The 19,641-nt window shown below is 52.1% G+C and overlaps 2 pseudogenes across 20 annotated transcripts in view, besides 10 other annotated features; one reads left to right on the top strand and one right to left on the bottom strand.

The window, feature by feature from the left end:
* Nucleotides 1-1,265: 1,265 nt before the first annotated feature.
* Nucleotides 1,266-6,112, bottom strand: MST1P2 (macrophage stimulating 1 pseudogene 2; annotated as a pseudogene). The gene is made up of 14 exons (NR_027504.1): nucleotides 6,008-6,112; nucleotides 5,171-5,317; nucleotides 4,977-5,089; nucleotides 4,570-4,706; nucleotides 4,372-4,488; nucleotides 4,105-4,223; nucleotides 3,022-3,902; nucleotides 2,894-2,930; nucleotides 2,645-2,805; nucleotides 2,435-2,512; nucleotides 2,161-2,307; nucleotides 1,973-2,079; nucleotides 1,737-1,876; nucleotides 1,266-1,612 (listed from the first exon to the last, which is right to left on the bottom strand). The product of NR_027504.1 is annotated as a macrophage stimulating 1 pseudogene 2 (transcript).
* Nucleotides 1,370-1,870: an enhancer, noted in NCBI's record as "H3K4me1 hESC enhancer chr1:16976311-16976811 (GRCh37/hg19 assembly coordinates)". NCBI's record gives its function as "activates a minimal SCP1, AML or CMV promoter by ChIP-STARR-seq in naive H9 embryonic stem cells {active_cell/tissue: H9 hESC(naive)}" and the evidence as "EXISTENCE:reporter gene assay evidence [ECO:0000049][PMID:30033119]".
* Nucleotides 2,533-3,150: an enhancer, noted in NCBI's record as "H3K4me1 hESC enhancer chr1:16975031-16975648 (GRCh37/hg19 assembly coordinates)". NCBI's record gives its function as "activates a minimal SCP1, AML or CMV promoter by ChIP-STARR-seq in naive H9 embryonic stem cells {active_cell/tissue: H9 hESC(naive)}" and the evidence as "EXISTENCE:reporter gene assay evidence [ECO:0000049][PMID:30033119]".
* Nucleotides 3,151-3,770: an enhancer, noted in NCBI's record as "H3K27ac-H3K4me1 hESC enhancer chr1:16974411-16975030 (GRCh37/hg19 assembly coordinates)". NCBI's record gives its function as "activates a minimal SCP1, AML or CMV promoter by ChIP-STARR-seq in naive H9 embryonic stem cells {active_cell/tissue: H9 hESC(naive)}" and the evidence as "EXISTENCE:reporter gene assay evidence [ECO:0000049][PMID:30033119]".
* Nucleotides 4,391-5,010: an enhancer, noted in NCBI's record as "H3K27ac-H3K4me1 hESC enhancer chr1:16973171-16973790 (GRCh37/hg19 assembly coordinates)". NCBI's record gives its function as "activates a minimal SCP1, AML or CMV promoter by ChIP-STARR-seq in naive H9 embryonic stem cells {active_cell/tissue: H9 hESC(naive)}" and the evidence as "EXISTENCE:reporter gene assay evidence [ECO:0000049][PMID:30033119]".
* Nucleotides 5,722-6,511: an enhancer, noted in NCBI's record as "H3K4me1 hESC enhancer chr1:16971670-16972459 (GRCh37/hg19 assembly coordinates)". NCBI's record gives its function as "activates a minimal SCP1, AML or CMV promoter by ChIP-STARR-seq in primed H9 embryonic stem cells {active_cell/tissue: H9 hESC(primed)}" and the evidence as "EXISTENCE:reporter gene assay evidence [ECO:0000049][PMID:30033119]".
* The window catches only part of CROCCP2 (CROCC pseudogene 2), a 27,216-nt pseudogene continuing 13,789 nt past the window's right edge, over nucleotides 6,215-19,641 (top strand). For 2 of the 19 annotated variants that reach the window (NR_197608.1, NR_026752.2), the window contains exons 1-6: nucleotides 6,991-7,040; nucleotides 8,541-8,658; nucleotides 8,836-8,919; nucleotides 16,518-16,659; nucleotides 18,340-18,591; nucleotides 19,315-19,411. The product of NR_197608.1 is annotated as a CROCC pseudogene 2, transcript variant 9 (transcript). Of the gene's footprint in view, nucleotides 6,620-6,990; nucleotides 7,041-8,540; nucleotides 8,659-8,835; nucleotides 8,920-16,517; nucleotides 16,660-18,339; nucleotides 18,592-18,916; nucleotides 19,080-19,314; nucleotides 19,412-19,641 lie in introns of those variants that run through there. The other 17 variants (NR_197601.1, NR_197609.1, NR_197617.1 and 14 more) reach the window with 16 other exon arrangements.
* Nucleotides 6,512-7,302: an enhancer, noted in NCBI's record as "OCT4-H3K4me1 hESC enhancer chr1:16970879-16971669 (GRCh37/hg19 assembly coordinates)". NCBI's record gives its function as "activates a minimal SCP1, AML or CMV promoter by ChIP-STARR-seq in naive and primed H9 embryonic stem cells {active_cell/tissue: H9 hESC(naive and primed)}" and the evidence as "EXISTENCE:reporter gene assay evidence [ECO:0000049][PMID:30033119]".
* Nucleotides 6,772-6,871: an enhancer, noted in NCBI's record as "active region_269". NCBI's record gives its function as "activates an Ori minimal core promoter by ATAC-STARR-seq in GM12878 lymphoblastoid cells {active_cell/tissue: GM12878}" and the evidence as "EXISTENCE:reporter gene assay evidence [ECO:0000049][PMID:35858748]".
* Nucleotides 6,962-7,081: an enhancer, noted in NCBI's record as "active region_268". NCBI's record gives its function as "activates an Ori minimal core promoter by ATAC-STARR-seq in GM12878 lymphoblastoid cells {active_cell/tissue: GM12878}" and the evidence as "EXISTENCE:reporter gene assay evidence [ECO:0000049][PMID:35858748]".
* Nucleotides 12,757-13,648: an enhancer, noted in NCBI's record as "H3K27ac-H3K4me1 hESC enhancer chr1:16964533-16965424 (GRCh37/hg19 assembly coordinates)". NCBI's record gives its function as "activates a minimal SCP1, AML or CMV promoter by ChIP-STARR-seq in naive H9 embryonic stem cells {active_cell/tissue: H9 hESC(naive)}" and the evidence as "EXISTENCE:reporter gene assay evidence [ECO:0000049][PMID:30033119]".
* Nucleotides 14,623-15,123: an enhancer, noted in NCBI's record as "H3K27ac hESC enhancer chr1:16963058-16963558 (GRCh37/hg19 assembly coordinates)". NCBI's record gives its function as "activates a minimal SCP1, AML or CMV promoter by ChIP-STARR-seq in naive H9 embryonic stem cells {active_cell/tissue: H9 hESC(naive)}" and the evidence as "EXISTENCE:reporter gene assay evidence [ECO:0000049][PMID:30033119]".

Raw genomic sequence — 19,641 nt, 5'->3', positions numbered from 1 at the left:
CACTATCCTGTGCTTACACGTAAATGTACCATTTCTCTTAGGGGTCTTGAAATACTGAATCAAAGAATGGTGTAGGGGAAGGGCAGTTTAGAAATACCTGGAAATTTGGTTGTTTGAAGGAAGCCCACTCTCAGATGGTAGGAGATCAAGCTAACAGAATAGCTGAGAATATTTTCTGAGAGCCCCAGAAGTATAAAAACGGTCTAGGGGGGAAAATTTGGGACACAGAGTGAAAATAGCCTGCCTCTGAAGACCAGCTTCATTTCTTCCCCTCTGGGTGTTAATGAAAGAGCCTTTAACTTTGCCAGGCCTCAGTTACTAATTTCTAAAACAACTGCTGCTACTATTACTACGGATCTTACTGCTACTATGACCACCACCACCACCACATCAGTTACTGAGAACTGAACTAGATGCCAAGAAAAATGGTAAACACTTCATATACATCATCTTTTTAAACACAAAATGTACTATTAATCCAGCTTTACATATAAGAAAACTGAGGCTCAAAGAGGCTAAGTAATTTGTATGTGAACATGCTTTACACTATGTAAAACATCTTATTAGTAGATATCACTATTATTAAGAACCTATCAGCCGGAGAGGAAGAATTGGCCTTTTATCTTTCTAAGATGCACAGTTGTCTTTCTGTTTAATGTTTTTTTAAAAATCCCCCTGTGACAAGCTCCAGAGGACAAATAATTTATTTCTTGGGGTGTATGGCTCTCTAAATGAATTAATTGATAGGCATCCCCTTGTCAGTCTCAGGGATGTGGAAATAAAACAGACATGAGATGTTTTTTACCAAACTAATTTGTGCTTTAAACACATAAATAATAAATATATATATATTAAAGTAAATGTGTATTTACCGTCTCTCCTGCTCCACTTTGAATTCAAGAACCCGTGTCTTTGTTGGGTCACTGCACTGTCAATTGAGAAGTTTGGTTTTGTTTCTTTGAGTGTTAGTAAGTGGCATTAAATAGTAAATATTGCCGGGGGAAAGAAAGGAGAAAAACAGCTCCTCCAATCCATCCCTGTTTCCATTCAATTAAAGGAGGGTAGAAAGAATACTTAAGATAATTGTAATAAGTCTAATAGAATAGCAGGAGCCACTCTTTTCCTTTCAGTAGGCCATTAGCTCAGAACTATTTTCAGAGTAATACTAAGATGATATTTGCCTTTTCACTGTGTTGGCACTTGTATTGATAAGGCAAAAGCAGTGGAGTCTTAGCAAAAATTAAGACCATGAAAACAAACTGCACTAGGAATAATTCTCTTCTTTATTACTGTTTACTTGTAGGGGGAAAAACCATTTTCATTTAAGAAAGTCCTTGGTGAAGTAGTAAAAATATGAATTTTATTAAATCTCAGCCTTGAGTACAAGTCTTGTCCTTGACTGTACTTACAAGTTTTGTCCTCCCCAAAGCATATGGCGTCAAGGCTGGGCCTAACCCAGTCTCATGACCTTGTGAATCCAGTCCACAAACACAGAGACACGCGTGAAGACGGCTGGCCAGCGCGACCTTGCGCATACTCGGTTGGGGATTCTAATTCCTTTCAGGACCCAGCAGTTGTGGGTAAAGCAGGCAAGTGGGCCCCCGTAGTCACCCTGGCAGGTAGGAGAACTGATGAGGGCCCTGGGCCACAGCCATGACTAGCCTGCTTCATGATAAAATAGTTCATTTCTAGCCCCCCATACCCTTCCAGGGCTGGCCCAGGGCCCTGCCACCAACCTCACAGGCCCCCACAGGGGCCAACAGTCCCTCAGTGCACATCTCGCTCTCCCGCACATGTCCTCGGTGCTTGATGTTACACTCCTGGTTGGAGATGACATTCAGCAAGGCCACATTTAGGACTGTGTCATTACCCGTACCTGCAGTGAGGGGAATGGGGAGAAGGAGACGGTCCTGGAGGAAGATCCAGGGCTGGGCCTCCTGGCCACCAGCAGTCCTGTGCACTATGCTCTTACCTTTGGTCTCACCCCGGCCTGCAATCTCACACTTGGTCCCTGGAGGCACCACATATCATTCAGGCGGCAGGCAGATCAGGGCCACACGCTGGTTCAGGGTCACAGATCTTTAGCAAGAATGGGGGCACTCAGGGTCTGAGGCCACAAGGCTCAGCCCCACCTCACACCCTCCCAGGTTGTCCACATACCTCTCCAGCTTGAGCAGGACAAGCTGAGAGCCTGAGGGCCCACACAGCATCTTGGCTACTGGGACCCGCTGTAGGCCTGGCTCTCCATGTTGTGGGTTCTGGAACAGGGTGCCCAACCATACCTCATAGCCCGTGAGAGGCATATGGCTGGGAGAGAAGCTCTGCTAGGTCATTTGTGACTCTCAGTCCGTTGCCCCAAGGCTCACTTGTTAGCTTGCCTGGGGAAAGGGGAAGGTGGGATGAGACTGGGTCCCCAAACACAAGGGAGGCTCACCAGGAGGAGAAGCACTGCCGGGCAGTCAGTATCCACTGCTCCTTCACTAGAGACCCCCCGCAGAAATGCTGGCCCTGCCTAGAGGAGTGGGGAATTAGGACAGGGAACAGACTCCTGGGACAGATGCTAGACCTGCCATCTTCTGGCTAGGACCTCTGGGGGCAGGGATAGATTCCCAGCCCCCAGTGGCATAACCACAGAGGACACAACCTCAGCTCCTCTCTGTGGGAGACAGGCAGTTGTGCCTCACCAATTCCGCAAGCTGACTGTCCAGGGTGAGTTGCCCGGATGGCCCCCAGCCACGCGCAGCTTGGAACAACGCTGATCCAGCCGATCCACCCTCTTGCCACACTTCTCAAACTGCACCTGGTCTGTAGGATGGGGTGGGCTGGATGAAACCCAGACTGTGTGGATGTCGTGGGCTAAAGGGCCTGACCCATAACTGGCCCAACTCCTAACCTGGGGGGGTCCAGGATTGATGGCGGCTGGTCATCAGCTGAAAGACAAAGTTCACTGCGGTTAAGGGAGCCAGCCTTTGGTGGTGAGGGCTGAGGCAGGGTCATGGGGCAAGCGTCACTAGTGCTCACCGCAGCGTCGCAGGGCACAGTAGTCGAATGGGGTCCTTGGGTCCATCGTGTAGCACCAGGGCCCATGGCTATCCCCATCTGGGTCTGGCAGAAGTTCTCCTCCAGTTGTGCATGCGGTTCGGAGGTAAACGTGAACCGAGGCGGGAGCGGGAGCGAAGTCGTGGCAGGGTAGTCTCAACCATTTCCAGGCTCTGGTCCCAGACATCAAAGCATGCCGCCCCAGGGTTAGGGCCCTGGCGGGGCCGGGAGCACCAGGGATTCACTGCGGCTTGTGCGGCGTCTCAGCGGACCCGCGCTGGCACTGGACACCCTTGCGGGTCTTGCTGACCGTGCCGCGGTACTGCTCCCCCGCGCCGTGGTAGCAGTCTGCGGCCGGTGCGGGCAGCCATCAGGCCGAGACCCCGCCCCGGCCCTCCGGTTCCAGGCTTCCAGCCCCGGCTCTGTAGCCCCCAAGCTTGGGCCTCACCCTGGGGCCGCACGTCGTCTGTACAACGCCGGATCTGGTAGCAAAAGCCCACGCGCATGCCGGGCCGCAGTGTGAAGCACCAGGGCGCCTCTGAGCCGTCGGGGTTCCGGCAGAAGTTCTCCCGAAGGTCTCTAAGCAGGCGCTGCACTCAGCCCTAGCCCGCCAGCCTCCAGCCCTAAGCCCGTGACTACCCTCCTCCCGTCTCACCCGCAGCAGCACGTCCCAACGCCCGCCCCCCCACCTCACTTGCACGCGTATTTTTCTGGCGTAAATCGGTGCTGATGCGGGATTTGCGCGTCCCAACGCTGGCAAGGTACGCCCGCGGTGGTGGTATTGGCTGTGCCCCGGTAGCCCTCACCCTTCCCGCGGAAGCAGCTGACACTTGTGGCCTCTTGGCGGGGCTGTGCCTCGGACCCTTAGATGGACCGAGATAGGTCCGGCCCCGAGCGACAGCTGAGATCCCTCTGGGGCTGGGACCAAACCCGCCTTTCCCAGGTGTACGGTACTCCACGGGATATGCTCTCAGGTCACGCCCAGCCCCTCTGACCTCCCCGGCCAAGCCACGCCCCTCCCCAAGGTTCCCAGGTACCCTCCCAGGCCTGGTCCCCGCCGCCTACCGCAGCGGGGGAGGTCACAGAATTCTCGCTCGATCTGCGGATCCGTAGTGTAGCACCATGGCCGCTCGGAGCCGTCAGGATTCCGGCAATAGTTGTCGTCCAGACCTTGGTCGAGGAACCTGGGGGCGGTAATGGGGCGTGAAGAAGACCCTGGGACTCTGGCTTATCTGGCCCCGCCCAGTTGCCCTACACGGAGCCCTGCCCCTGGAGTCCTGGACCTTCCCTAGCCCGGCCCCCAGGGCGCCGATACCGCCTACGCGTACTTGCCCGGCTCGAAGGGGTGCTGGTGCGGGTGCTGAAGATCCCAGCGCTGGCACTCGCGCCCTGACTCGGTGCGGTCTACCGCGCCGCGGTATTCCTCGCCATTGCACCAGACACACGCGGCTGGAGACAAAGAGCCAGTGGGTTCGTGGATGGGCGTGGGCTTGTCCCTCCACTCTCCCAGCTTGACCCGGCGCCGCTTACCCACCCGGCAGGATTTGATGCCGCAGCTCTGGAAGCGCACGGCAGGGTCTGTTGTGTGGCACCAAGGACCTCCGGGGTCGCCATCAGGGTTACGGCAGAAGTTCTCTTCCAGGCCATTCCGGAGCGTGGGCATGTACCTGAGGGCCCAGAGCATCACTATAGTGTGTGCTGGGGGAAGGTCCCAGGCCGGGACGGAGGGAAGGTGTTTGTCCCACTGGTGATCGTTCGGGAACTTGTGGCTCCAAGCCTGGCAGGACAGGCCACCCACGGTCGTGGCCATGGTGCCCCGGTACCCAACCCCATTGTTCATGATGCAGGTCCGTATGTAGTCTGGGAGCAAGAGACAGAAGATCAACTTGGGCTGAGGTCCCCTGTCTCCCACCCTGCCCCTCTCCACCCCCACTCGCCTTTCTCCTGGAAGAGGTCACAGCGCCCAGAATGCCGCAGCCTCGTGTGGGGTGAGTGTTGAGTCCATGGCAGCAGTTGGCAACCATGGCTGCTCACATTGTAGTGGAACGCCCTGGAGAGAAGAAGGCACAAGGTAACGCCACGGCCCAGGCTCCCCTGCCCCCAGTCTTATCTATGCCCAGTGGCCACTCACCGGCAGTCCATTAAGGGCCCACAGCGACCAGCACACTCTTCAGCATCTGCCACATCCTCCTGCCAAGGCCCGGGCACCACCGCTTGTAGCGGCGCTGTAGCTCTGTGCCCCGGAGCACCTAGAAGTCATTCAATGGCGAGCGCTGCCCTGCAGAGTGGGTGCAGGTCAGGTGGGCATACATGTCAGTAATGTGTATTGGCATGTCCACAGTTTGTTCATTCAGGGGATCAAAGCTACAAGGCTTCTGGGATGGACCCTGTATGCACTTTCAAGGGCCAGTCTAGCCCCCCTGCACAGATACTTGTCAAAAAATTTCCCCTGGGAAGCAGGCCCAGACTTGGTAGTTATCACCGGTGCCTCTGTGTAGTGGCCCAGGCACCGGGCTCAGATCTAACACACACGCTCTGTGAGAGCAGTGGGTGATGGAGCTTGCCCCATCTCATCTCTCAAATGAGAATGCTAAGGCTCAGAGCCATCACATTACCCAGCCAGGGGCCCTGGCTAGGCATTCAGACTCCAAAGCTGGGCTCTCACCTGCACAAAGGCATACGCTAGGTTAGAGGGGTAGATCAGGCTCAGGAGGGGTCACTGCCTGCTGTGTGCGTGCATCTGTGTGGTCCTAACACTGCTTCAGTGCTAGAGCAGACGTGCTAATAGAGGCCTAAGTGGGCCATGTCTATGTGTTCCTAGGGCTTCCCAGCTGTGCTCAAGAGGCCAAGGTCACTGCCCCATGCCCACTGAGCCTCTGGCTCCCTGACTTTTTTCTCATCCCAGAATAGGAGAATGGGGCCAAGCCCCTCCTGAAGGCAGATGGGGATCAAGGTTGGGGGCACTCACCAGGGACCCCTAAGCATTGAGTCAGAAGCAGCAGGAGTGGGAGCCACCCCATCCTTCTGGCTGGAGGCTGCACTGTGACCCACCACAGCCCCATCCGGGAAGTTGTGAAACCTGTCCCTACGGGATTGGGTGGCTCTGGCTCCGCACGTCAGCTCAGGGCCTGCTGGACCCTGACCTGAGACCTGGTGACAGGAGCCATGAGGGGCCAGGCCTCAGGTCCCACAGGTCAGTTGCAAGGGCCTAGCACAGCTAGCCCCCTGAGAGGCCTCCCTACTTAGTGGTCAGGTGTTAGGAAGGTTTGGTGGGGCCACTTGAGGTGCCCTGGGGTTGGGGTGAAACCCCTCTGCAGCCTAGTCAGCCCAAGGGCATTGTGAAAGTGACAGCTGCCAGAGGTCTGGGTTCCAGCCCCTGGCTGACATTAAACTTTTCTGAATTTCGGTTTTTCCCTGTAAATTGGGGAAAATTACTTGCCCCAGCTTCAACACTGCCTCCCCTCCACCCTTTTGCTGCTGCCTTATCAGGCCCCAGCTGTAGGCAGGTCAGCCCACGCCCGGCGGCAGAGCCCAGAGAGGCTCGCTCATCTCAGCCGCCAGAAGTGTCATCCCAGGGAAGGTGAGCGAAGCTGTCCACTAGGACTAAATAGGGGTGGAGGTAACAGGTAGCAGGGACTCTGGCAGGAACCGCCTTTCAGACGTTTTCAGGACCGTCTGAGCGGGGCCTCCAAGTATGGGTAGGAGACAGGCGGCCTAGGGATTCCGGTTAGCACGTCGCGTTCTGCCGCAGCAGGGCTGGGAGCATCCCCGGGGCAGGCGGAGGTCGGAGGTGGTGAGGCCTTTCGGCGAAGCTGAGGCCTGGAACAACCCGGTGGGAAGCCACGGAGGGGGTCCCCTAGCGGAGGCTGGGCGCGGGCCGGTGCGCGTGCGCGGCTGGAGGCTCAGCGCGCGAGCGTGCGCGTGATTTGGCCCTGAACGGACGCCGTAGCCGAGAGGTTGGGCGGATGTTGTGAACCGGGTCGCGGCGGCCGAGGCTCGGGGTGAGTGAGGGGCGGCAGGGCTCTGAGCCTGGCGGGTTCCGGCTATTCCCTTCGCGGTCCAGTTTAGTCCACTGCGAGGGCACCTGCAGCGCCGGGATCTGAGTGCGAAACTCCGAGCGGAAGCTGGTCTGGCAGGTCCTCTGGAGCTTGGGGCCAGGCGGGGGCGACTTGGGGGAGCCATCCTTGGGCTCCCAGACGGAGTAGGTTCAGTTCTGAGCCCGGATACCCCGGCGAGGTTGGACGGGATAGCCGTGACAGGGAGTCCCCGGGCGGGGACAAGGTCCGCCTCTCACCTGGGTCCTCAGCAACTGACACCCGGAGTGGGTGTCTGGAAGGTCTGCTCATCAAATGAATGACTGCATTTAATCAGATCTTCAACTACTGTGGTAGTGAAGGGGCACCGATCATGGAGGCCCACCGAGGGCCCGAGGTCGGGAAAATCACCTTCCCGAGGAGCAGGCGTGGTGCAGACCCACAGGGGTTTGTGGCGGGAGTAGAGGGTCTGTTTGGGGCGAGATAAGAGACTGAACGGCAGAGTAGGGAGTGCTGGCTAAGGCAGTGCTGCAGAGCGAAACTCTAGACCTGCGCTGTCTAATAGAACTTTATATGATGGTGGGAATGTTCTACCTTTGTGCTGTCCAATAGAGTAACCGTTAGCCACATGTGGTCATTGAACTCTTGAAATGTGGCTGAGGCAACTGAGAAATCGAATTGTTAATTTTTAAAACTTTAAATTTAAGTAACCTCACGTGGATGACGGCTGCTGTGTTGGACAGCACAGCTACACATCAGTGAGGCCAGCACCAGGGACTCAGTGCAGGTTTTGGAGCAGCTGCAGCAGCAACATGATGTGAGGGATAGATGCACTAGGAGGACCAATGGAGTTTGCCATGAGGGCTGGGCAAGGGTGGTGCTTGGATGAGGTGGGAGGCCACATGTGTGAGTGGGAACAGTGAAACTATCAGGACCATGGATAAAAGAAGGGAGGAACCCAGGGCTGAGGAAAGAGGCTCCAGCCTTGTGGGGAGTAAGTGGGACTTATGGCTAGAGATGACCAGACCAGTGGTGGTCTGCACTTGGGGGAATGTGTAGGATTGTCGCTTCTGGTTGTGAGCTGGACTCAGTATGGCTTACAACCGAGATGAATACAGGGGCTCTGCCCCTAGGACACCTCACTTTGGACATTTTGGTCTGATTTCCACAGAGCTGAGACATTTTGTTATGGTTTGGCAAAAATATATCTGGTACCTGCTCTCTGCCCAGCCCTGTGCTGGGCACAGGGACACTGGAGAACAAGAAGTGGTCCCTGTTACATGGGCCTAGACCCTGGCTACCCTGCCTGTGTAGGAAGCTGGGAGCCCCTGCATTCCCCTGTCCTATGTGTTAGTGTGCATGCCCCTGGCCTCACCTGCTCCCAAGACTTCCTGCCATGGCAGGACTGAGGTCAGGTGTGGGGGCCCCTGGCTGGCCCTGAGTAGACAGGCTCTGTGTCTGCCTCAGCCTCCAGGACCACTGGCTGCCCATGAGAGACGAAGGATGGCATCCAAGGGGGCCGGCGTGTCTTTCTCCCGCAAGAGCTGTAGGCTGACCTCAGATGCTGAGAAATCCAGGGTCACAGGTAAGGGCTGGCAGAGAAGGAAGGAGGCTCCTCTTGTTGGGAGGAGAAGGAAGGGACAAAGGCCTCAGGCCTTGCTGCACCTGTGGCTGGCCTAGGACCAGAAGTCTCTGGGGCCAGCAGGGGCCAGGAGCTGCACTCATCGTGTGGCCCTTTTCTCCCTTCTGACTTGTGGCTCAGGCATTGTGCAGGAGAAGCTGCTGAATGACTACCTGAACCGCATCTTTCCTCTTCTGACCATGCACCCCCAGCAGCCACCGGCAGGTATGGCTGGGTGGGCGGCCCCTCCTCACTCTGCTGGGCCAGAGCAGAATAAGGAGGCTGCAGTTGTAGGGAAAGGGAGCCTGGGCTCTGGACAGATAGGCTTAGGCTCTGTTCTCACTGTGCTCCTGGCTGCGAGATCTCTGGCCAGAGAGTCTGCCTTCCGTACGCTGCTTCTTCCTGTCTCCAGGCAGTGCTAGTTCCTTGTGAGAGTCAGGGAGCAGAGGTCAGGGAGCGGGTGCACATTCATGCCCAGCTAGCACCTGGCACCTACTCCACACCCAGCATCTGCCCCTGCATGTACCTGCCCTCACCTTGGCCCCAGCCTGGCCCCTTGTAGCTTCTGACTGACCTTGTAAAGAACAAACTCCTCCAGGGCCTTTTCTTTACAAGTTTAATACTTTTGAGTGTAGTCAGTGTAAAAGTTACAAGTACATTTTAGCAGAAACTTAGAGGGCCAGGCACAGTGGTTCACACCTGTAATCGCAGCACTTTGGGAGGCCAAGGTGGGTAGATTGCTTGAGTCCAGGAGTTCAAGACCAGCCTGAGCAACATGGCCAGACCCCATCTCTACAATAAAATACAGAAATTACCTGGGCATGGTGGTGTGCACCTGTAGTCCCAGCTGTTAGGGAGGCTGATGTGGGAGGATCACTTGAGCCTAGGAGGTTGAGGCTGCAGTGAGCTGGCCTCTGCATGCCACTGCACTCTAGCCTGGGTGACAGAGCAAGACCCTGTCTCTAAAAAAAGAAGGAAAAGCACCTGCTATCTTGTTATTTTAACATGACTATTCAAATGCGATTCTTTTCTGTTTTCTTTCTTTGTGTTACATTTTTAATTTTTAATTTTTGTGGGTATGTAGCAGGTATATGTATTTATAGGGTATATGAGATACTTTGACACAGGCATGCAATGCGTAATAATCACATCATGGTAAATGGGGTATCCATCCCCTCAAGCATTTATCTTTTGTGTTATAAACAATCTAGTTATACTCTTTTAGTTATTTTTAAATGTACAATTATTATTTACTACAGTCACTCTGTTCTGCTACCAGACAGGTCTTATTAATTCGATTTTTTTGTACGCATTAGCCATCCCCATCTCCCCACAAGCCCTACACTACCGTTCCAAGCCTGTGGTAACCATCCAGTACTTTGCCTCTATGAGTTCAATTGTTTTAATTTTTAGCTCTCACAAATAAGTGATAACATGCAGTGTTTGTCTTTTTCTGCCTGGCTCATTTCACTTAACATAATGACCTCCAGTTCCATCCATGTTGTTGCAAATTACAGGATCTCATTCTTTTTTATGGCTGAATAGTACTCTGTTGTGTATCTGTACCGTGTTTTCTTTATTTATTCATCTGTTGATGGACACTTAGATTGCTTCCAAATCTTGGCTATTGTGAACAGTGCTGCAACAAACATGGGAATGCAGATATCTCTTCGATATACTGATTTCCCTTCTTTGAGGTATATATCTCTTCGATATACTGATTTCCCTTCTTTCAGGTATATACCCAGCAGTGGGATTGCTGGATCATATGGTAGCTCAATTTTTAGTTTAGTTTTTTCTTTTTGAAAAAATTTTTTTTTTTTTGAGACAGAGTCTTGCTCTGTTGCACAGGCTGGAGCGCAGGGGCGCAATCTCAGCTCACTGCAAGCTCCGCCTCCCAGGTTCACGCAATTCTTGGGCCTCAGCCTCCCAAGTAGCTGGGACTACAGGCGCCCGCCACCAGGTCCAGCTAATTTTTTGTCTTTTTAGTAGAGACGGGGTTTCACCGTGTTAGCAAGGATGGTCTTGATCTCCTGAGCTCGTGATCCACCCGCCTCGGCCTCCCAAAGTGCTGGGATTACAGGCGTGAGCCAGTGTGCCTGGCCTTTTTTTTTTTTTTTTTTTTTTTTTTTTGAGAAGGAGTTTTGCTCTTGTTGCCCAGGCTGGAGTGCAGTGGCATGATCTTGGCTCACTGCAACCTCTGCCTCCCGAGTTCTAGCAATTCTCCTGCCTCAGCCTCCCGTGTAGCTGGGATTATAGGCACACACCACCACGCCCAGTTAATTTTGGTATTTTTAGTACAGATGGGGTTTCGCTGTGTTGGCCAGGCTGGTCTCGAACTCCTAGCCTCAGGTCATCCTCCCACCTCGACGTCCCAAAGTGCTGAGATTACAGGCATGAGCCACCACACCTGATCAATTTTTAGTTTTTTCAGGAACCTCCAAACTGTTCTCGATAGTGATTGCACTATTATAATTTACATTTCCACTAACAGCGTACAGGGGTTCCACAACCTCGCCAGCATTTGTTGTTGCCTGTCTTTTGGATAAAAGCCATTTTAACTGGGGTGAGATGATATCTCATTGTAGTTTTGATTTGCATTTCTCTGATGACCAGTGACGTTGAATACCTTTCCATATGCCTGTTTGCTATTTGTATGTCTTCTTTTGAGAAATGTCTGTTCGTATCTTTTGCCCATCTTTTGATGGAACTATTAGTATTTTTCCTATATAGTTGTTTGCGTTCTTTATATATTCTGGTTATTAATCCCTTGTCAGATGGGTAGTTTACAAATATTTTCTCCCATTTGTGGGCTGTCTCTTCACTTTGTTGATCGTTTACTTTGCTATGCAGAAGCTTTTTAACTTCATGTCTGTTTATCTTATAATGTATGTAGTTCAGATTATGCTGTATAGAAAACTTTAAAAAAATTTGTCACCTTCAGTTCTTTTCTTAAAACATTTTTATTGAGCTATGATTAATATACAATAAACTACACACACTTAAAGTGTACAATTTGATAAGTGTTAACATATAGATAAAACCCGTGAAACCATCAGTACCATCAAGGTAATGGACATGTCCCTCACTTCCAGAAGTTTGCATCCTATTTTTATTATCAAATGTTATCCCGTGAGTATTTTTCCACATTATCAATGTATCTTACTGAGCATCTTTAGGGCCAGGGGGTCTGCTGTGGCCCATACAAGTGCCCTAGTTTGGAAGGACTTTTGCCTTTGTAAACAATGCTGTGAGGATGCCCAGGGCTGGAGTCGTGTGGCTAGAGTGTTTGAACTGCAGTCACTTTTAAGACTGTTGCCAGATTACTTCTTCAAAGGATCAAGTAGGTTCTCCGTCCCTGCAGTGAGGCACGGTTGTCCCTGTCTCTCACCCCCTTATCAGCCTTAGCTGTTCTGTCTTTTACGACTTCTGCTCTTTAGGCAGGTCCAAAAGGCAGCATCATTACCTGTTCTATTTAAGCAATTGTGGTGGTCAGAAAGTGCCTGCTTGCAGAGAGTTCCTGCCCACCCCCACCCCATACTCAGTCCTGGCCTGTTCTCAGAGCCATCTGATCCCTACCTCATGTGATACCAGAGATGGTCCTGCTGCTGCTGCTGCTGCTGTGGCCGCCAGGAGAGACAGCAGGTGGTAGGGCCGTCAGTCAGTGGTTGTGGGGATTCAGGGCCCTGAACTGGGACCTAGGAGATCCAAAAAGGTCAGGGAAGTTGCTGGTCTTGGCCAAATGGGCCGTGCTGTAGGCACTCAGTGGTGGCTGTCTCAGGCCGACTGCCCACAGATATGTGCAGTCTGCTCTCAGGATCAGGCACACGACTTTGGGGGTCAGGTACAAGAGTAGCCACTCCAAGTGTGGGCTTGTTAAGAACTGTTTTCTTTTGAGGCAGGGTCTCGCTATGTCCCAGTCATAGCTCACTGCAACCTCAAAGTTCCAGGCTCAAGGAATCCTCCCACCTCAGCCTCCCACATAGCTGGGACCACAAGCACATGCCACAGCACCCAGCTAAATTTTTTTTTTTTTTTAAGAGGCAGGGTCTTACTGTGGCACCCAGGCTGGTCTCAAACCCCTGGGCTCAAGTGATTCTCCCACCTCAGCCTCCCAAAGTGCTGAGACTACAGGTGTGAGCCACCATGCTTGGCCTGTAACTGCTTTTGAGAAAGGCTCCTTTATCCTTGGTCCACTGGGGTATTCAGAGATGGGGTTGGCTTTAGCCTTCTATGCTACTAGCTGAGCACCCCGACTGCATAGCCACCACCTGGCCTTGGCCTGGGACAGAGCAGCAGTGGGGAGGGGCCTTTGTGCATCTCTGCTCCTACAGCTCAGGGCTGGGAGTGGCTTACACTGGGGGAATATGTGATCCCTGAGCCTGGGTAGTGGCTACTTTGTCAGGGTGCTTTGTGCCACCTTCGTCCCCTTCCAGAGCTTTCTGTCTGTGTGGATGAGTAGGGTAGGAACTGGCATGAAAGGTGGAAGAGCAGGTGGTGGCAGCCTGTGGGCAGCCAGGTGTGTAATGGGCCTCTGTTCTGCCTGAGTCCTGCTGGTTACCACCACCTCACTCCCTGCTATTCTTAGCAGCTGAGCTCAGGACAGCACTGACTGGCATTAGACAGTACCCTTTTCCCTCTAGGCCTGTGTGTTGAGAGGATGAGGGGGCCACCCAGACAGATTTTTCCCAACTCCTTTGGCTCGGGTAGGTGGGCCATGTGCTCTGCTGACCATTTATGGACTGGCGGGTACAGGACAGAGCCATCCAGCAGCTCAGAGGGCTGAGCCTTTCATACTTCCAGGACATGGCCCATTCAACACAGACTCCCCTGGCTGGGTGGTGGCGAGACTGGAATCTGCCCCAAAGGAACCACAGGCCTAGGGGCAAGGGTTGGACTAGGTGGCCTTGGTACTGACCACTTTGGGAACCAGCATTTCTCCCAGCCTTCTTCTTCCAGACATCATCAGCCCAGCCACCTTTGAGAGCGGACAGGTTATGTGGTATGCAGACAGCACTTGTTATTCCCTGGGCTCTTCACAGCATCTCTAACATAAGTCATTATTCTGTTTTTACAGATGAAGGAATTAAGACTTAGAGAGGGCTACTTTTTTTTTTTTTTTTTTTTTTTGAGACGGAGTCTTGCTCTGTCACCCAGACTAGAGTGCAGTGGTGCGATCATGGCTCACTGCAACCTCCGCCTCCCAGGTTCAAGCAATTCTCCTGCCTCCGCCTCCCAAGTAGCTGGTATTACAGGCACATGCCACCACGCCCAGCTACTTTTTGTATTTTTAGTAGAGTCGCAATTTCACCATGTTGGCCAGGCTGGTCTTGAACTACTGACCTCATGATCTGCCCGCCTCAGCCTCCCAAAGTGCTGGGATTACAGGCGTGAGCCACCGCACCCGGCCACATACTTTTTTTTTTTTTTTTTTTTTGAGACAGAGTCTTACTCTTGTTGCCCGGGCTGAAGTACAATGACACGATCTCGGCTTACTACAACCTCTGCCCCACCAAGGTTCAAGCGATTCTCCTGCCTCTGCCTCCCGAGTAGCGGGGATTATACGAATGTGCCACCACGCCCAGCTAATTTTTGTGTTTTTAGTAGGGATGGGGTTTCACCATGTGGCCAGGCTCGTCCCGAACTCCTGACCTCAGGTGATCTGCCCGCCTCGGCCTCCCAAAGTGCTGGGATTACAGGCACGGGCCACCACACCCAGTCTGGACTGGTTATACTTTTGAGTTTAGTGGAGAATTCAGCCTTCTGACCTCCTGCATGCCAGAGTCTAGGACTAGGCACAGCCTTTTTTCTGGAGTCTAGGCAGCCCCCCTGTGAGCTCAGGGGAATGGATGGGATTTAGTGTCATCTGGCTGATATCAAGGACTTACTTTTAGTTAGTAATCTTTTCTTTTCTTTATGGCTCACTGCAGCCTTGGCCTCCTGGTCTGAAGCAATCCTCCTACCTCAGGTCCTGTGCAGTTGGGACCACGGGTCCATGCCACCAGGCTTGCTGATTTTTTTATTTCTCGTAGAGTCGAGTTCTCACTTTGTTGCCCAGACGGGTCTAGAATTCCTGTGCCCCAGTGATCCTCCTGCCTTGGCCTCCCAAGGTGCTGGGATTACAGGCATGAGAAACTGCACCTGGTTTAATAATCTTTTCTTAATATCATCAAATAGCCAGCGTCTAAATTTTCCATATGTCTCATAAATGCCACAGATAGGCCAGGTGCAGTGGCTCACACCTATAATCCCAATACTTCGGGAGGCCAAGGCGGGCAGATCATCTGAGGTCTGGAGTTCGGGACCAGCCTGGCCAACATGGTGAAACCCCCATCTCTACTAAAAATACAAAAATTATCCAGGTGTGGTGACACATGCCTGTAATCCCAGCTACTGGGGAGGCTGAGGCACCAGACTCGCTTGAACCCAGGAGGCGGAGGTTTCAGTGAGTCGAGATCACACCACTGCACTCCAGCCTGGGTGACAGAGTGAAACTCTGTCTCAAAATAAATAAATAAATAAAAAGTCACAGATAGTCTTGCTTTAGTTTTTTCTTTACAATTTGTTTGAATCCGGATCCATAGACATTCACAAAGTGCGAATGGTTGCTTTGTTTTGTTTGTTTGTTTGGTTGTTTGTTTGTTTGTTTGTTTGAGATGGAGTCTCGCTTTGTTGCCCAGGCTGGAGTGCAGTGGCAGGATCTTGGCTCACTACAACCTCTGCCTCCTGGGTTCAGCAATTCTATGGCTTCAGCCTCTTGAGTAGCTGGGATTACAGGAGTGCGCCACCACGCCCAGCTAACTTTTGTATTTTTAGTAGACATGGGAGCTTCACCATGTTGGCCAGGCTGGTCTTGACCTCAGGTGATCCACCTACCTTGGTCTCCCAAAGTGCTGGGATTACAAGAGTGAGCCACCGTGCCCGGCCCATGCTTTGTCTTTGAAGTCCTTTTTAACTTATTTGTTCAGGAAACTGGGCTAGTTGTCCTTGGAGATTCTCATGGTCTGGATTTTGCTGGTTGCATCCTTATGGTGTCAATTAACATATTTCTTTATCCCATGTATTTCCTGTAAATTGGATGTTGGATGTAAAGCTAGGTCAGATTCAGGCTCTTCTGCTTGCTTTTTCGTTTGATCAAGACTCCATAAGTAGAATGTGTTCTTCCATCAGGATGTCCCTATGCCAGCTGTCTCTCTTTTCAAGATCCAACCCACTCATTAGAGGCTGCAAAACTGTGAGCTTCTCATTTAGTCACTCCTGTGTATATTAATTAGAATTCTATAATGAGGCACTTTCCCTCCTTACTATTGGATAACCAGTGGTACAGGTCATTCAGGAAAGGAAAGGAAAGGATTTAACCTGTATTATGGACTTAAAATACTTTTTTTTTGAGCCAGTCTCTCTCTGTCGCCCAGGCTGGAGTGCAGTGGCACAATCACAACTCATGTTAGGCTTGACCTCCCAGGCTCAAGTGATCCTCCCACCTCAGCCTCCCAAATAGCTGGGACTATAAGTGTTCACCACTATACCCAGCTAATTTTTTTTTTTTTTTTTGAGACAGGGTCTTGCTATGTCTCAAGAAATGGGCCACCACGCCTGGCCTTAAAATACATTTTAATTTTTTAAAATACAAATAATTTTTAATGTATTTTAAGGCCAGGCGTCATGGCTCATGCCTGTAATCCCAGCACTTTGGGAGGCTGAGGCGGGTGGATCACCTGAGGTCAGGAGTTCAAGACCAACCTGGCCAGCATGGTGAATCCCCGTCTCTTCTAAAAATACAAAAATTAGCTGGGTGTTGTGACGTACATCTGTAATTCCAGTTACTCGGGAGGCTGAGGCAGGAGAATCGCTTGAACCGGAGAGGCGGACGTTGCAGTGAGCCGAGGTCAAACCAGTGCACTCCAGCCTGGGCAACAGAGCGAGACTCCATCTGAAAAAGAAACAAAAAGAAAAAAAAATTTTGTAAGTAGCCTTTCAAATTTTTATATTTTACTTTTGATGAAGTCACCTATTCACATTTCAAAAGGGTACACAGTAAAATGGCTCCCTCCCACCTCTGACCCCAGATATTCCCATTCCTTCCTTGGAGGCAAGCAGCATCATCAGCTTCTTTTTCTTTTTATATATACAATTATTTTCTTTCTTTTTTTTTTTTTTTGGCCACCAAGTTACCGTAAGAAGCATTGTCAGTTTCTTTTTCTTTTTTCTTTTTTTTTTTTTTGAGATGGAGTCTCGCTGTGCTGCGAGTCTCCAGGCTGGAGTGCAGTGGCACGATCTTGGCTCACTGCAACCTCTGCCTCCCGGGTTCAAGTGATTCTCCCACCTCCGCCTCCCAAGTAGCTGGGATTACAGGAATGAGCCACCACACCTGGCTAATTTTTGTATTTTTAATAGAGGCGGGATTTCGCCATATTGGCCAGGCTGGTCTTGAACTCCTGACCTCAGGTGACCCTCCCGCCTCGGTCTCCCACAGTGCTGGGATTACAGGCATGAGCCACCGTGCCTGGCCTATCAGTTTCTTAAGTGACCTTCCAGGGTTATTTTATATGAGCAAATGAGATCACACACGCGCACACACACACACACACACACACACACACACACACACTTTTTTGTATATACGCCTGGTAAAATTTCATCTTCACAGTTCTTGAAGATGCTTTTTTCACCTACTAGTTATAACTGGGAGGTGGCTCTGGATCAGGCCAGGAAGAACTTCTCCACTGGTTTTTCTTGGCCACAGTTCTCCACTTAAAGGATGTACCATCATGTACTTAGTAGCAGTCCCCTTTTGATAGACATTTAGGTTGTCACCAGGATATCTTACATGAGCAATGCTGCAGTGAACCTCCTTGTCCACAAGCCATCTCCTCTGTGCTGGGGTATATCTGTAGGATCCATTCTTAGAGGAGGAGCCGGTGGGGAAGGTCCTATGCCTGCATAGTTTTCGAAGATCTCCCTCAGTGCCCTCCATTGTGATTGTACTCACCCTCCCACCAGCTGTGTAGGGGAAGGCCTGTTGCCCCAGAGCCTCTCTTTGTGTATTATGTGTCCCTTTTTTTTTTTCCCAATCTGATAGTGGACAAATGGCATCCCAGTGTAGGGTTGTTGTTTTTTTCTTCTTCCTCTTTAGTTTTTGAGATGGAGTCTCACTATGTTTCCCATGCTGGCCTCAAATTCCTGGGCTCAAGCAATCCTGCCTCAGCTTCCCGCATAGCTGGGACTGCAGGTGCATGCCACCGCACCCAGCCCAGTGTAGTTTTATTTATTTTTTATTTATTTATTTTTTTGAGACGCAGTCTGGCTGTGTCGCCCAGACTGGAGTGCAGTGGCATGATCTCAGCTTACTGCAACCTCCTCCTCCTAGGTTCAAGCAATTCTCCTGCCTCAGCCTCCCAAGTAGCTGGGAATACAGGAGTGCACCACCACACCTGGCTAATTTTTTGTATTTTTGGTAGAGATGGGGTTTCACCATGTTGGCCAGGCTGGTCTCGAACTCCTGACCTCAGGTGATCTGCCCGCCTCGGCCTCCCAAAGTGCTGGGATTATAGGTGTGGGCCGCCATACCCAGCCCCAGACTAGTTTTAATTTGTAGTTGGGAGTGAGCCCCATCCCATCCCCATCCTGTGTTCTCTTCCCAAGGGACCCGCTGCAGCTGGGAGGGGAGCTGTCCAGGAGGCCGGCCTGGGAATGAGCACAGGCCTGCGGCTGGCAGAGAGCCGGGTCGAGCCAGCCCTGGAGAAGCAGGCCCAGCTGGAGGAGCAGCTGCGGGACAAGGTGCTCCACGAGAAGGACCTGTCCCAGCAGCAGATGCAAAGCGACCTGGACAAGGCTGACCTCAGTGCCAGGAGGGTCCCTGGTGGGTGCTGCATGAGGCAGGCGTCACTGCAGAAGGTAAAACTGGAGAGTTGGGGAGAAGGGAGCATCTGTTCACTAGGAGCAGGGCCTTCCTCTGTGAGCTCAGCCAGCCTTCCCAGGCACCCCACTGAGGTTCCGAAGGCAGTTGCCCAGTGTTTATCATAAACAGCTTAGCCTCCTATGACAGAACTTGTGGCCGGGTGCTGTGGCTCACACCTGTAATCCCAGCACTTTGGGAGGCCAAGGTGGGAGATTACCTGAGGTCAGGAGCTCAAGACCAGCCTGCCCAATAGGCGAAACCCTGTCTCTACTAAAAATACAAAACTTAGTCGGGTGTGGTGGTGTGTGCCTCTAATCCCAGCTACGAGGGAGGCTGAGACAGGAGAATCGCTTGAACCCAGGATGTGGAGGTTGCAGTGAGCCAAGATCACATCACTGTATTCCGGCCTGGACGACACAGCGAAACTCTGTCTCAAAAGAAAACCACAAAAAAACAACTTGTGCCCCTTACTCCTGCCACCTGGGTAAGTCCTCCAGTGCTTTCCCATGAGATAAAGCTGGTGGGAACCTCATTCCCATTTCACAGATGAGAAGTGTGAGGTCTGGAGAGGAGCCACAACTTGTTTAAGGTCACACAGCCAGGGAGGTGGATGTTAGGGTCCCTGCCTCGGGTTTGGAGAAGCATGGTGGACACAGAGCTAGTGGATTTGAGAGGCTGGGGTGGTCCCGTATTCACCTCTGTTGCTCCCCCAACTCCAGAGTGACAGAGCTGGGCCTGGCAGTGAAGCGTCTACAGAAGCAGAATCTGGAGAAGGATCAGGTCGACAAGGACCTCACCGAGAAGCTTGAGGCCCTGGTGAGCTTCAGCTGCCCCTGAGATGGGGCAGGGTGGGATGGGGTACCGGCCAGATCCATGGACACAGGCTTAGGGCTGGGCTGCCTGGGCCACCCCCAGCATCCCACTCACACTCAGGTTCAGCCCACACAGGTGTGCAGGCTTTGTGGGAAGCACACTCACTTCCTCCATCCCATTTCTCCCTCCCAGCAGCCCTGTAGAGTAATCCTAATGACACGGATGGGAAACTG

The sequence above is a fragment of the Homo sapiens genome, chromosome 1 (genome assembly GCF_000001405.40).
Source record: "Homo sapiens chromosome 1, GRCh38.p14 Primary Assembly".
Lineage (NCBI taxonomy): Eukaryota > Metazoa > Chordata > Mammalia > Primates > Hominidae > Homo > Homo sapiens.
The sequence above is the reverse complement of the archived record's forward strand: the minus strand, read 5'-3'. Positions and strand labels throughout refer to the sequence as shown.